This window comes from Homo sapiens, chromosome 17, assembly GCF_000001405.40.
Source record: "Homo sapiens chromosome 17, GRCh38.p14 Primary Assembly".
NCBI classification, from domain to species: domain Eukaryota; kingdom Metazoa; phylum Chordata; class Mammalia; order Primates; family Hominidae; genus Homo; species Homo sapiens.
Genome location: NC_000017.11, coordinates 59,749,252 through 59,762,918, shown reverse-complemented (window position 1 = coordinate 59,762,918; position 13,667 = coordinate 59,749,252). Strand labels below are relative to the sequence as shown.

Here is a 13,667-nt window from a genome sequence, read left to right as displayed (position 1 = left end):
AGCTATATTTGCATTCCAGAAATATAAAAAATGTATCCTAACAGATTAAACACATTATCCAATAAAATAAAAGTTCTTTATAGTTTTCATTTTTAGTTATTCTGAAAAGGGAAATTTTCAACAATCTGATTTGAGAATGTTTTTTCAAGTCTCTGATTTGAGAATTCTTTCTTCTAAAGAAGTCTGTTCATTCACTCAACTAAACTGACATATATTTTCCATAACCACACTAGTAAGTCATGATTACTCAGCCTTTGAGGCAGATGTGGTGGTTCCCAGACAAAATGAACATTAACAACTCAGTTTCTTGTCCTTTGTTCATAGTTTAAACTATATTAAGTGATAGGAAACCTCACAAGTTCTATTCAACATTTTAGCTTAATGGTTTTTAAATATAACCGATTTGAATGAAAAAATATGTTTATATGAAAAATTCAAATAAAAAAATTTTTGATTAAAAGTTTTAAAAGTTACACATAATTCAAACTACTTTTAAAGTATATTTTCTAAAAACTACAAGTCTCACTACAATGTAGCAAATATGAGTCACATTTTTAACCATACTAAACAAAGAAACAAGAGGGTAAAGACCCAAACAGCTATAGTATTAATTGAAAAGCCTAACTGGATAAAACCTGCCACAGGATATAAAATTTATATATTTACTGAGCAGCAGGTTCCAACTCTTGTGGGAGCATGGGTTAGGGATCCTGGTCTATGGCTGAAGGTTTTCTGTCTCACGGCGGATGAAGTAACGGATACTAGACTTTCATTTCTATAGCAAACAATTAGAAAACTGGACAAAATATATGGGACAATTCTTTTTAGACATTGTACTACAGGCAGTACAGGGCTTTGATTACTAAGAGAAGGGATAAAAATGAAGAAACCATACATTGACTCTGGCTTCTTGTCTGTAGACACATTCCATGCCTGCCAAAAATTCCATGGTCAAAAGAGCAAGAGCCCAAACAAAGCATGTTGCTCCTGCCGAGTTGAGAATGAGATTGGGGTTCACGAGTTCAGGATTCAAGAAGGCTGAGGCAGTCAGAATTTATGAGGCAGTATACCAGAAAAGAGAAAGCTACACAGAGAAGGAACTCTAGAAATCTGCACAGGGGTCCCCTTCAGACTCTGGCACACAAAGCTGCATTGCATGCTAAGGTGAGACCACAAGTCCAGGCAAAGAACTACAAGAACTACTGGGAAAAGAATAATTACTGGGGATTTGTAAACTGACCAATTCCCAGAGTTCACACAGGCCTGGGAAACATTTGTGATCAACCAGCTAGAGTAGAGAGACTCAGCATTCAACCCAGAAAGGTCATGCCTGGGTAGGTACGACCTTTCCTTCTGGTCCTAAGGTGAAAGCTACTCTAGTCTGACCCTAACAGGGTTTAAAACAAGTCTTAAAAAGATCAAGCTGATCCACAGGTAACTTAATTGTCCCCTTCACCCTCCCCCCACATCAATGTTCTATAGTGGAAGACAAAATCCATACAATCAACAATTTAATACTACATATCTAGCATTCAATTAAAAATTACTAGCACTCAATATAATATTACTAGATATGCGAAGCAGCAAATTATAACTCATAACCAAAAGAAATATTGCTCAATAGAAACAGACCCAGATTTGATGAAAAGTATCAATCCACAGACTTAAGAAACTGAACAAATCCAGTCAGGATCGACACAAAGAAAATAAAACACATGGGCTGGGTGCGGTGGCTCACGCCTGTAATCCCAGCACTTTGGGAGGCCAAGGTGGGTGGATCATGAGGTCAGGAGTTCGAGACTAGCCTGGCCAACATGGTGAAACCTGTCTCTACTAAAAATACAAAAAATTAGCCGGGCATGGTGGCAAGTGCCTATAATCCCAGCTACTGGGGAGGCTGGGGCAGGAGAATCGCTTGAACCCAGGAGGCAGAGGGTGCGGTGAGCTGAGATCTCAACACTGCATGCCAGCACAAAAAAGAAAAGAAAAGAAAACATATAGGCCGGGCATGGTGGCTCACGCCTGTAATCCCAGCGCTTTGGGAGGCCAAGGTGGGTGGATCATGAGGTCAGGAGATTGAGACCATCCTGGCTAACATGGTGAAACCCCATCCCTACTAAAAATACAAAAATTAGCTGGGTATGGTGGTGCGCACCTGTAATCCCAGCTACTCGGGAGGCTGAGGCAGGGGAATGGCTTGAATCCGGGAGGCGGAGATTGCAGTGAGCCGAGATTGCGCCACTGCACTCCAGCCTGACGTCAGAGCAAGATGCCATCTCAAAAAAAGAAAAAAGAAAATAGAAAATAAAACATAATCAAACTGCTAAAAATCATCACAATCATGTCATAATGAAATTGCTATAATTCAATGACAAGAGGAAAAGTCTTAAAAACAATAGAGTAGATAAAAATAAAACATCTACAGGGAAAAATAGGTCAGACTTTTCATCAGAAATAATGCAAACCACAGGACATCAGAATTACTTCTTTAAAATGTCAAAGAAAAAAATACCTGTGAATCTGGGAGCTAGGGAAAATATATTTCAAAAAAATATATTTCAAAACAGTACTGTGGATTTACGACATATGAGGAAGTAAAATATACAAGAAGTAAAATGTATGACAACTAAAGCATAAATTATAAATTATGGGAGGAGGAAATGAAGAACACTATTATAAGGTTGTTATATTTTATACAAAATGAGAAAACAATACTTCATTGTTCACCCTGTAAGTTAATGGAGCATATTGCAAACCTTAGGACAACCACTAATTTTTTTTTTCTTTTTTTTTTTTGAGAAAGGGTCCTACCCTGTTGCCCAGGCTGGAGGGCAGTAGTGTGATCACAGCTCAGTGGAGTCTTGACTGCCCAGGCTCATGAGATTCTACCTCAGCCTCCCGAGTAGCTGGGACCACAGGCATGCATCACTACACCTAGCTATACCACTAAAAATTTTAAAAGAAGTAGAACAAACAAGCAAATAAATTCAATACCAAAAAAAAAAAAAAAAAAAACACCAAAAAACAAAACAAAACAAAACAAAACAAAAAAATCCTCAGTCCAAAAGAAGGCAGAGAAAAAAGAAAAAGGAATGAAAAATTAGATATGACAAACAGTTTGAGGGTAGACTTAAACCCAATCATATTGATAACTACATTAATTGCAAATGGACCAAATGTATAAATTCAGGCAGACACTGTCACACTGGATTAGTACACGCTGTCTATAAGAAACCCACTTTAAATATTAAGAACCCAGAAAAGAAAGAGTAAAGAAATGGGAAAAGAAAAACCATTTAAAAAATCCATAAAAAAGATAAAGTAGCTAAATTGATATTAGACAAAGTAGATTTAATGACAAAGAATATTAACAGAGATTCATAGGAACAAATGATAAAAGGTCTAATTCTCAGGAAGTCAGACCAATTCTAAATGTGTATACAACCAATAACAGAGTGTGAAAATACATAAAGCAAAAACTGACAGAACACAGAAATGAACAAATCCCCAATTATAGCTAGAAATTTCTTTATTTTATTTTTTTTGAGACAGAGTCTCACTCTGTTGCCCAGGCTGGAGTGCAATGGCACGATCCTGGCTCACTGCAACCTTCGCCTCTGGGGTTCAAGCAATTCTCCTGCCTCAGCCTCCCAAGTAGCTGGGGTTACAGGCACCCGCCACCACACCCAGCTAATTTTTGTATTTTTGGTAGAGATGTGGTTTCACCATGTTGGTCAGGCTGGTTTTGAACTCCTGACCTCAGGTGATCCACCCAACTGGGACTGCTGGCGCAAGATACCACAACCAACTAATTTTGTTGTTGTTGTTGTTGAGACAGGGTCTCTCATTCCATCACCCAAACTGGAGTGCAGTGGCAAGATCTTGGCTCACTGCAGCCTCAACCTCTAGAGTTCTGGTGATCTTCCCACCTCAGCCTCCTGGGTAGCTGGGACTACAGGTGTACACCACCACGCCTGGCTAATTTTTTGTAGAGGTGGGGTTTTGCCTGTTGCCCAGGCTGGTCTCTAACTCTTGGGCTCAAGTGATCTACCCACCTCAGTCTCTCAAAGTGCTGGGATTACAGGTGTAAGCCAGAGTGCCCAGCCCAGCTAATTTTTTTTCATTATTTGTAGACAGGTCTCCCTGTGTTGCTTAAACTCCTAGGCTCAGGGGATCCTCCTACCAACACCTCCCAAAGTGCTGGCATTACAGGTGTGAGCCGGCGCACCTGGCCCAGATAATTTTTTTTTTGTTATTTTTAGAGATGGGTCCCCCTATGTTGCCCAGGCTAGTCTCAAACTCCTGGGCTCAAGAGATTCTCCCAACAAGGCCTCCCAAAGTGCTGGGATTACTGGTGTGAGCCACCACACCTGGCCCCATCTAATTTTTCTATTTTTTGTAGAGACAGGGTCTGCCTATGTTGTCCAGGCTGGTCTCAAACTCAGTTCAAGGGATCCTCCTGCCTTGGCCTCCCAAAGTACTGGGATTAGAGGTGAGCCACCATGCCTGGCACATACATAGTTGAAAACGTCAACATCTATATTTCATTAATTGATAGAACAACTACACTGATAATTGTATGGACACAGAAGATTTGAATAACATAGAAAATACCACCCAGCAAGAGCCAAATATATATTATTTTCAAGTACACATGGAATATTTGCCAAGACAGACCATCTGCTGTGCTATAAAATGAGTGTGAACACATTTAAAAGGATGTGACATGTGGCAAGGTAAAGATCAATACAGGGAGTACATCTTAAAGTGGCAAATAGGCAAGGCAGGGTGGCTCATGTCTGTATTCTCAGCACTTTGGGAGGCTGAGGCGGGACACTCACTGGAGCCCAGGAGTTTTGAGACCAGCCTGGGTAACATGGAGAGACCCTCTCTCTCAAAACAAAACAAAAAATTAGCTGGGTATGGTGGTGTGCACCTGTAGTCCCAGTGAAGTGGAAGGATTGCTTGAGCCTGGGAGTTCAAGGTTGCTGTGAGCTGAGATCACGCCACTGTGACAGAATGAGACCCTGTCTTAAAAAAAAAAAAAAAAAAAAAAAAAGTGGCAAATAAAGGTCTGTTTTATTTTTGGTAACTCAGTATAGTTATTCTAGACGAAGTTAAATCAACAAGATAGCTTGGTTATTTGCAACATATTGGACATCTGGATTTGCTTCATTTCAGAGTTCCATATATCTAGTCTCATGAGCTGTATTACATTATATTTTCCAAAGATTGGTAATGGAATAATTTTGCCTTGTCCAGGATAAAAGATGTAGTGCTTGGCCAGGCAGGAGTATGTCTGGGTGAGAGCAAACTATACTTAGATGAAAGGGTAAGATTTCTAGTAAGAGCAGATGTAGGTACTTGTCTGTGGAAAAAGATATTTTATCTTTTAAAAACTCTTTTTACATAAGTTTAAAAAGTTACATTTCCATGATTTACATTCTTTCATGAGTTTTAGTGATTAGAAAAGTTTTAGTGATTAGAAAAAAACCAAACTAATTCTATGTAATCAATTTTTACTCTAGCTTTAAGAATAACAATACACTACTAGTTCTTCTAATTAAGAGAAACTTAGAATTCAAAAAAAATTGTCCTAGAAGGGTAAAATTATACAAAACCACATCTATCTATCTATCTATCTATCTATCTATCTATCTATCTATCTATCTATCTATCTCCATCCTAATCTGGTAGTGAAGAGTTTTAAGTAGTTTTCTGATAATAATATAGTATCTATGTTAAGCCCAGAGAAAGAAATCCTTGTGCCACAAACACTAATTAGGGTCATAGTAAGAAAGGGGTGAATATATTCATACTTGAATTTGTGAAAAAATCATATTAGTAAAATGATAAATCAGTATGTACACTGCTGCTTAATATTAAGTAAAACATTTTCTGGATTTTGAACTTTTCAAGTTTTCTGGATTTATACTACAGCGGCTCATGATTTACTATAATTGTACCTTCTTCACACACTTTGTAGCATTTAAAGGACTGAAAAGGTTATACTCATGTCTATGTTTCATCAAGAAAAACAGTATACCATCCAAAAGACCAGAGACAGAATACTGTTGGGTTTACTTTAGGGTCCTGTCTTACAGAGATATCTTTTAAAAACGAAAGACCTAAAATGTTCATATTAATTATTAGCCTAATTCAGGCAAGTATACTTATCAACCGAGATGAAGACTACAACATCACATTAAGAGTGCAGAATGTGTGTTGTGTGTGTATGAGTATTTTTAAGGAAGGCAAGCAGACAAAACAGACAGACAGACATTCTTCCACTCTAGACGGCTCCCTCAGAACTGATAAAACATTCCTAAAGACTGGAGTTGTTTGGACAACATCTGTAATGTCAATTCATAGCCTAATCCATCATCTATACACAGAAGTCAAGTGAGATCCCAAAGGCAAAATTTCCAATTAGTTTTGTCTGGAAAGTTTAGGGCAAAGGTAATAAAATCAAGAATCCTGTGCTGATTCACTGGGAAAACATTTATTTGCCATACTTCTTCACTAAGGAACAAAAGCAGTCAGTGGTTAGTCTGGAATGTGATTCATTAGGAATATCTGGGTGATAAATAAACAAAAAAAGATGAAAAATGGTTGTTTGTATGACTTGCAAAACCTTTGTTTTCTTTCAGGGGACTTCAGAAACCCTTTTGCAAACACAGGAATTCTCTTCAGAATTTTTTTAATCATTGTTTTTCTCATTAGAGTCAGAAAACAAGGTTATGGTCTACAGCAAATAATTCTAGAAGGCTAGAGTGTAAAATATCGATTCCCAATGGGCACTGACAAGTTTAACCAGTGTTTATATTCTTTTTGTGAAGAAGGTCCCAAGTTATGCCTCTGGTCTCTACAAAATGCAGTACAGGCTGGGAACAGTGTCTCATGCTTGAAATCCTAACACTTTGAGAGGCCGAGGCAGCAGGATCACTTGAGCCCAGGAGTTCGAGACTAGCTCGGACAACACAGTGAGATTCCGTCTCTACTAAGAAAAAATATTAGCCCAGTGTGGTGGCATATGCCTGTAGTCCCAGCTACTTGGGAGGCTGAGATGGGAGGACCACTCGAGCCCAGGAGTTCAAGGTTGCAGTGAGCTATGATCATGCCACTGCACTCCAGCCTGAGCGACAGAGCAAGACCCTGTCTCAAAAAAAAAAAAAACCAAAAACCAAAACAAAAAACAAAGAAACAAACTGTCAAAAAGCAGTAACCGGGGCATGCATTAATGTGGATTTCAGTTTTCTAAATCTGTTGGTAAATTACTGTTGGTAACTTCTATCTCTTCCTTTGTTTAACAAAAAGCCTAATAATGCTTGTTACCTAGGTCACAGGGTAGAAATATGAGATTATACTATAAAAGTGCAAATATAAAATTGCTGGCCAAAACAAAAGAAATATGAACTCTATAGTATTAGTTCATGCTCCAAGTTATAAGGTACTGTCTTTGAAGCTATTTTTATTATATTGAATTAATCCATATTAAAAGGCATGTTTGGCCAGGTGTGGTGGCTCACGCCTGTAATCCCAGCAGTTTGGGAGGCTGAGGCGGGCAGATCACTTGAGGTCAGGAGTTCGAGACCAGCCTGGCCAACATTGTGAAACTCCTGTCTCTACTAAAAATACAAAAAATTAGCCGGGTGTGGTGGCGCATGCTTGTAGTCCCAACTATTCGGGAGGGTGAGGCAGGAGAATCGCTTGAACGTGGGAGATGGAGTTTGCCGTGAGCCAAGATCGCGCCATTGCACTCCAGCCTGGGAGACAGAGTGAGTCTCCGTCTAAAAAAAAAAGAAAAAGAAAAAGAAAAAGAAGGCATGTTTCACCTTTGTTCTCTAGACCCAAGCAACTTTTGATCATACAGTTGACTTAAGTATTCAAGAGAAATGAACTACATATTTATGAGAGCTGTTAAAAAAGGGCGGGGGGGGCTAGTATAAATTGTTTAAAATGTATGCTCAACAACAAATTTAAGCTAAACTAAATTTTCTTGGCTTTCATTTAAGCATACATTAATAAACTTAAGGGCAGGAAGTTACCCAGTCTGTGCATACCCCTTTTCCTTGGCAAAAACCCAGCCTGATGTCCTGAAGACCTTGGTTTCTTCTTTTGATGTGGTGATGCTCAGCAGAGTTAATATATGAGTCATTCCTTAGGGAAAGACAGGGAGAAGAGCTTTCATGCCTTCATCAAACAAAAGGCAAATAGATTTTTTTCTAAGAAGGGTCTGTTGGTCTTCCTGAAACAGCACTGAGTCACTGCATGCTTATAGCCATAGTTATAAGCATCTGGTATCAAGTCACACCACAGCCTTAACTTTTGGTAATTTCTTTTTTGTCTTAAAAGGAGGATAGACAAATGAGCAATAAAGCAATAGTCAGAAGTCAAGCTGAATTGATAGGGAAGAAGCTGGCTAACAATTTTTTAAAAAAAGAATGATTCCACTTTATGGTATTAACTACTACAATATTTCACTTACTGAAACTATTTCACTATTTTATTTCAACCCATATGAATGCAGTTTTCCAAATAATATTTACTTTTAGCAATAGCCAAGAGTCAAAAAGTATCAGAAATGTCTATACTAAGGAAAAAACAGCTTTTAAAAAGTGCAGAATACTATACAGTACTTCCTCCTTAGGGTGCCATATACAGAGGAGGTCATAAATATGAAAAAGCAATTAAGATGTCAGATTTTTTAAATGTATAATTTTTTTTGTTTTCTTTTTAGTCATCAATTGACCTGTACTTCAGGGTAAATGTACAATTTTTAACACATATTTTAATAATGAAATAATCCCAAACTTTAAAGCAGAAACAGGCTCTGAATCTTACACAGGGGCACGTATCTCACAATTTTCTTTGTATCTAATTTATAACAAAAAGTACTTTTTTTCTATAAAAATGGTCATATGAAACAAAATGGCTCACAGATATCATTCAAAGGATAACACCTTGATGTTACAGCTTCTAATAAAACCTGATCTATTCTACAATGTAACTGAATAGTTCCCAACTTTTCTACTTCCAAACTGCTTCTAGAAAGTAAAACTAACACTTTAAACATGAGAAAATCCAATGGTTAAAATATATGGCAAACAGAAAAATTGTAAAATATATTCAGCCTTCTACTTATAGCTAAATATTTGGGTATGTTTTTAAATTATAAAATGATTGTCGATCGTTTTTCTTCTCTTTACAGTTCTTTGTCTAGAAGCTGGGCTTAACTGAAAGGGATATGGGGCTTTGTGAAGTCTTTTGCCAGGAAACTGCTCCACCTAGTGTCAAAAATTGTACATACATCACATTATATAGGAGAGTAAATTGTAGCCCATGGACTCCTTTGCTATTAAGAACAGGCTTTATAAATCCTTAATGTTACATACAGTTTACAAATGGTTCTTTAATCATCTTTTTGTCTTGTAACTTGATGAATCATAATGTACATGCATATAAGGAGCATGTCCAGAATACATTTCTCATAATCAAGTACCAAAGTTCCTGTTTTTGTTAACCTGGTTAATTACAGAATTATGAATCATATTTCTATTAGTGGGAAATAATTACAAGGTGGCTAATGAAATAACCCCATCACTTCTCCTAATTGTGTACAACATCTAAACTTTTTTTTTTTTCTTGAGACAGGGTCTCATTCTGTCGCCCAGGCTAGAGTGCAGTGGCGCGATCATAACCTCCCTGGGCTCAAGTGATTTTCCAACCTTGGCCTCAACCTCCACCTGAGTAGCTGGGACTACAGGAGCATGCCACTACACCTGGCTAATTAAAAAATTTTTTTCGTAGAGACGGGGTCCCACTAGGTTGCCCAGGCTGGTATGGTCTTGAACTCCCGGCCTCAAGTGATCCTCCTGCCTTGGCCTCCCAAAGTGCTGGGAATACAGGTGCGAGCCACTGCACCTGGCCTAAGCTTTTTAGAAATAAATTTTATTGTGCATAATTGAGGCTTACAATATGTTGTTATAGTATACATACAGATAACAAAATGGTTATACTATAGTAAAGCAAATTAACATGTTTATCATCTTACATAGTTACTTTTTAAAAATAAGAACAGCTAAAAATCTACTTAACAAAAATCCCTAATCCATTGTAATTTTACAACAGTGGTACCTTAGATCTTTAGACCTGTTCATCCTACACATGACATCTAAACTTAATCCATAAGTTATTTATTCCTCAAAATGGTTGCAATCTTGTAAAATCTGGTATTTAAGAGGAATTGAACATACCAGTGGTTACATGAAACTGGAACCAAATCTTCCTGTCATCAGACAGCTCATTTAGAAGAAATTCTTCTGCTTTTCCCTTCAAAAAAGCTTTTTCTTTTTACTCTTAATTTTTTTTATACAACTCATATATGCACAACTATATTCTTTTCTAAAGCATCATGTGAAACCTGTTATTTCTTGATCAAGAAGAGAGAAATGATAGTACTTATTTGGCAAATGGGTGAACCAAATACACAGATGTCATACAAAAATCCTTAGAAGACAGCTAGCTCTCTCATTAAGGCTCCCAGGCTCACTATGTCTCTTCCGGTGTACTACTGTCATTCAATGAGTTGGAGCAGGGGTTAACAAACTACAAACTGCAGACCAAATCCAGCCTGCTACCTGTTTTTATGAATAAAGTTTTACCAGAAAACGGCCGCATTCACTCATTTATGTACTGTCTATAATTGCTTTCTCGTTACAGTGACAGATCTGAGTAGTTGCACAGAGACTGGATAGCCCACGATGTGTAAATAGCTACGGATCTGATCCTTTACAGAAAAAGTGAGGCCGGATACAGTGGCTCATGCCTGTAATCCCGGCACTTTAGGAGGCTGAGGCGAGAGGATCTCTTGAACCGAGGAGTTTGAGACCAGCCTGGGCAACATGGAGAGACCCCGTTTCTACCCCTAAAAAAAACCCAGCTGGTGTAGTGGTGCACACCTGTAGTCCCAGCTACCTGGGAGGCTGAGGTGGGAAGATCTCTTGAGCCCAGGAGGCTGAGGCTACAGCGGGCCATATTCATGCCACTGTACTCCAGCCTGGCAACAGAGAGAAACCCTGTCTCAAAAAAGAAACGAAGATAAAAGAAAATGAAAAAGAGAAGGTATGCTCTGTAGCCCTAGGTTAGACTTTTTTTTTTTTTTTTTTTTTTTTGAGACGGAGTTTTGCTCTTGTTGCCCAGGCTGGAGTGCAATGGCGCAATCTCGGCTCACTGCAACCTCTGCCTCCCCCGTTCAAACAATTATCTCACCTCAGCCTCCCAAGTAGCTGGGATTACAGGCGCCCCCCCCACCACGCCCAGCTAATTTTTGTATTTTTAGCAGAGACAGGGTTTCACCATGTTGGCCAGGCTGGTCTCAAACTCCTGACCTCAGGTGATCCACCCACCGCAGCCTCCCAAAGTGCTGGGATCACAGGCATGAGCCACCGAGCCCGGTCTAGACCATTATTAAGATAGAAATTTTGACTCACAAAAACTGGCTGCATAGAGATGAACCAAAGAGGTCAACAGCAGCTATGTTCTCTTTATGCAAACATTGACTTACTATTCTTACTCTGGATATAATTTCCGCTACATGAGAGAATAAATAAGCATTCCTGATCGCTCATGTACTGGATCTTCTAAAAGGTAACCTGAATGCTTGCTAAGACTAAAATAAATCTGTCAATGGATTTTGGGGAATTAATATGCAATAAAAGAGTGCTTAAAAGGTGCTACCTGGCCGATCACGAGGTCAGGAGATCAAGACCATCCTGGCTAACACGGTGAAACCCTGTCTCTACTGAAAATACAAAAAATTAGCCAGGCATGGTGGTGGGCGCCTGTAGTCCCAGCTACTCGGGAGGCTGAGGCAGGGGAATGGCGTGAACCCAGGAGGCGGGGTTTGCAGTGAGCTAAGATTGCACCACTGTACTCCAGCCTGGGTGACAGAGCTAGACTCTGTCTCCAAAAAAAAAAAAAAAAAAAAAAAGGTGCTATCTTGGAAAAATCTGCCAGCCCCAGAAGCTTCTTTGCACCTAATCTACATACAAACTCAAATAAGGTAAATGAATGAAATTTGTAACTTGCACTACTTGCTAGGCAAAATTTGTTCAAGGTAGATATCAAATGAATGAACAAAAATATGCCTGCATAAGAACTAAAAACAGAGGAAATGCAGTTTACAAATGCTATTAATTTCTAATTTATTTAATATTCTTTATTTCAAAGTACAATATACCTCACTATAAAGATAAACCAGAGACAAGCATATTAGCATATGTTGAATAAAATTATTTTAAAAATCACTCATTGTGGGCTGGGCGTGGTGGCTCATGCCTGTAATCCCAGCACTTTGGGAGGCCGAGGTGGGTGGATCACCTGAGGTCAGGAGGTCGAGGCCAGCCTGGCCAACATGGTGAAACCCCATTTCTACTAAAAATACAAAAATTAGCCGGGTGTGGTGGTGGACACCTATAATCTCAGCTACTTGGGAGTGTGAGGCAGGAGAATCACCTGAACCCAGGAGGCAGAGGTTGCAGTGAGCCGAGTTCGCACCACTGCACTACAGCCTGGGCAACAAGAGCAAAACTCTATCTCAAAAAAAAAAAAAAAATTATTCATTGTGCCTATTTTTTGTCTAAATTTAAGTAAATTGAATGCAAAGAGCATAATAAAATGTTTACACAGCAAGAAGTACATGCACTTATTTGCTGGAGAAATAAAACGATTTACTAATATTTAATATAAAACTGTTATGCAAATTAAGAAAAAGCTATATATAGATTAGGTCATTTTTCATCAACTGTCACAAATAAGACTCAGATGTTAGGAACAGACTGTTTTGCCAATAAAAGAAGTCGAATTATTTTATCTCTCATAGGCTTTGCAAAGATTCTATTTTACATTAATATATTCAACATATATTTGTTGAGCACCTATTGAGTACTAGGCTCTGTTCTAGACAGTTGGAATACAACAGTAAGTTAAGTAGAGATCATGTAAAACCTAGGATGATTTTACTTTCCTCCAGACTAGTTTGCTTCTAGTGGGTAGACGGGCTGGGCCACTCACAGTTCTAAGAAGATAATAAGATTATTTTAACTTGAGGCAGGGCATGGTAGCTCATGCCTGTAATCGCAGCACTTTGGGAGGCTGAGGGGGGCTGATCACTTGAGGTCAGAATTCGAGACCAGCCTGGCCAACATGGTGAAACCCCGTCTCTACTAAAACTACAAAAACTAGCCAGGTGTGGTGGTGCATGCCTGTAATCCCACCTACTTGGGAGGCTGAGACATGAGAATCACTTGAACCCACGAGGTGGAGATTGCAGTGAGCTGAGATCACACCACTGCACTCCAGTTTGGGTGACAGAGCAAGACTCTGTCTCAAAAAAAAAAAAAAGATTATTTAAACTTGAGCTTCAGTACCGGTGAAAGTTGATTTATATCTAGTTCATCACATCTTTTAAAGTGTGGCCCTTTAGAGTTCAAATTCAAAGCCTGCAGGTTTATCAGGGCCTATCCTTGGCCAGTCTCTCTTCTTTGGGTTTTCTGTATAACTTAGATCTTGGTCTTATAATTCTTTTACTCTCTTTAAACATATATACAAATACTCATATATACATATACTCACCTTTAAACATATATTTAAAAATTTATTGGCTG

The 13,667-nt window shown here is 38.6% G+C and overlaps 1 protein-coding gene across 10 annotated transcripts in view, besides 3 other annotated features; it reads right to left on the bottom strand.

The window, feature by feature from the left end:
• Nucleotides 1–13,667, bottom strand: part of VMP1 (vacuole membrane protein 1) — a 134,602-nt gene that overhangs the window by 79,337 nt on the left and 41,598 nt on the right. The gene's annotated exons all lie outside the window — the stretch shown is intronic.
• Nucleotides 7,510–8,709: an enhancer, noted in NCBI's record as "MED14-independent group 3 enhancer chr17:57831571-57832770 (GRCh37/hg19 assembly coordinates)". NCBI's record gives its function as "activates an origin of replication core promoter dependent on BRD2, BRD4, P300/CBP and CDK7 cofactors, and independent of MED14, by STARR-seq in HCT116 cells {active_cell/tissue: HCT116}" and the evidence as "EXISTENCE:reporter gene assay evidence [ECO:0000049][PMID:35650434]".
• Nucleotides 7,824–8,666: an enhancer, noted in NCBI's record as "amplified fragment containing the chr17:57831888-57832338 (GRCh37) CAGE region". NCBI's record gives its function as "low expression transcribed enhancer in HepG2 cells {active_cell/tissue: HepG2}" and the evidence as "EXISTENCE:reporter gene assay evidence [ECO:0000049][PMID:24670763]".
• Nucleotides 7,942–8,392: a CAGE cluster, noted in NCBI's record as "CAGE cluster; bidirectional CAGE region". NCBI's record gives the evidence for it as "EXISTENCE:cap analysis of gene expression evidence [ECO:0000309][PMID:24670763]".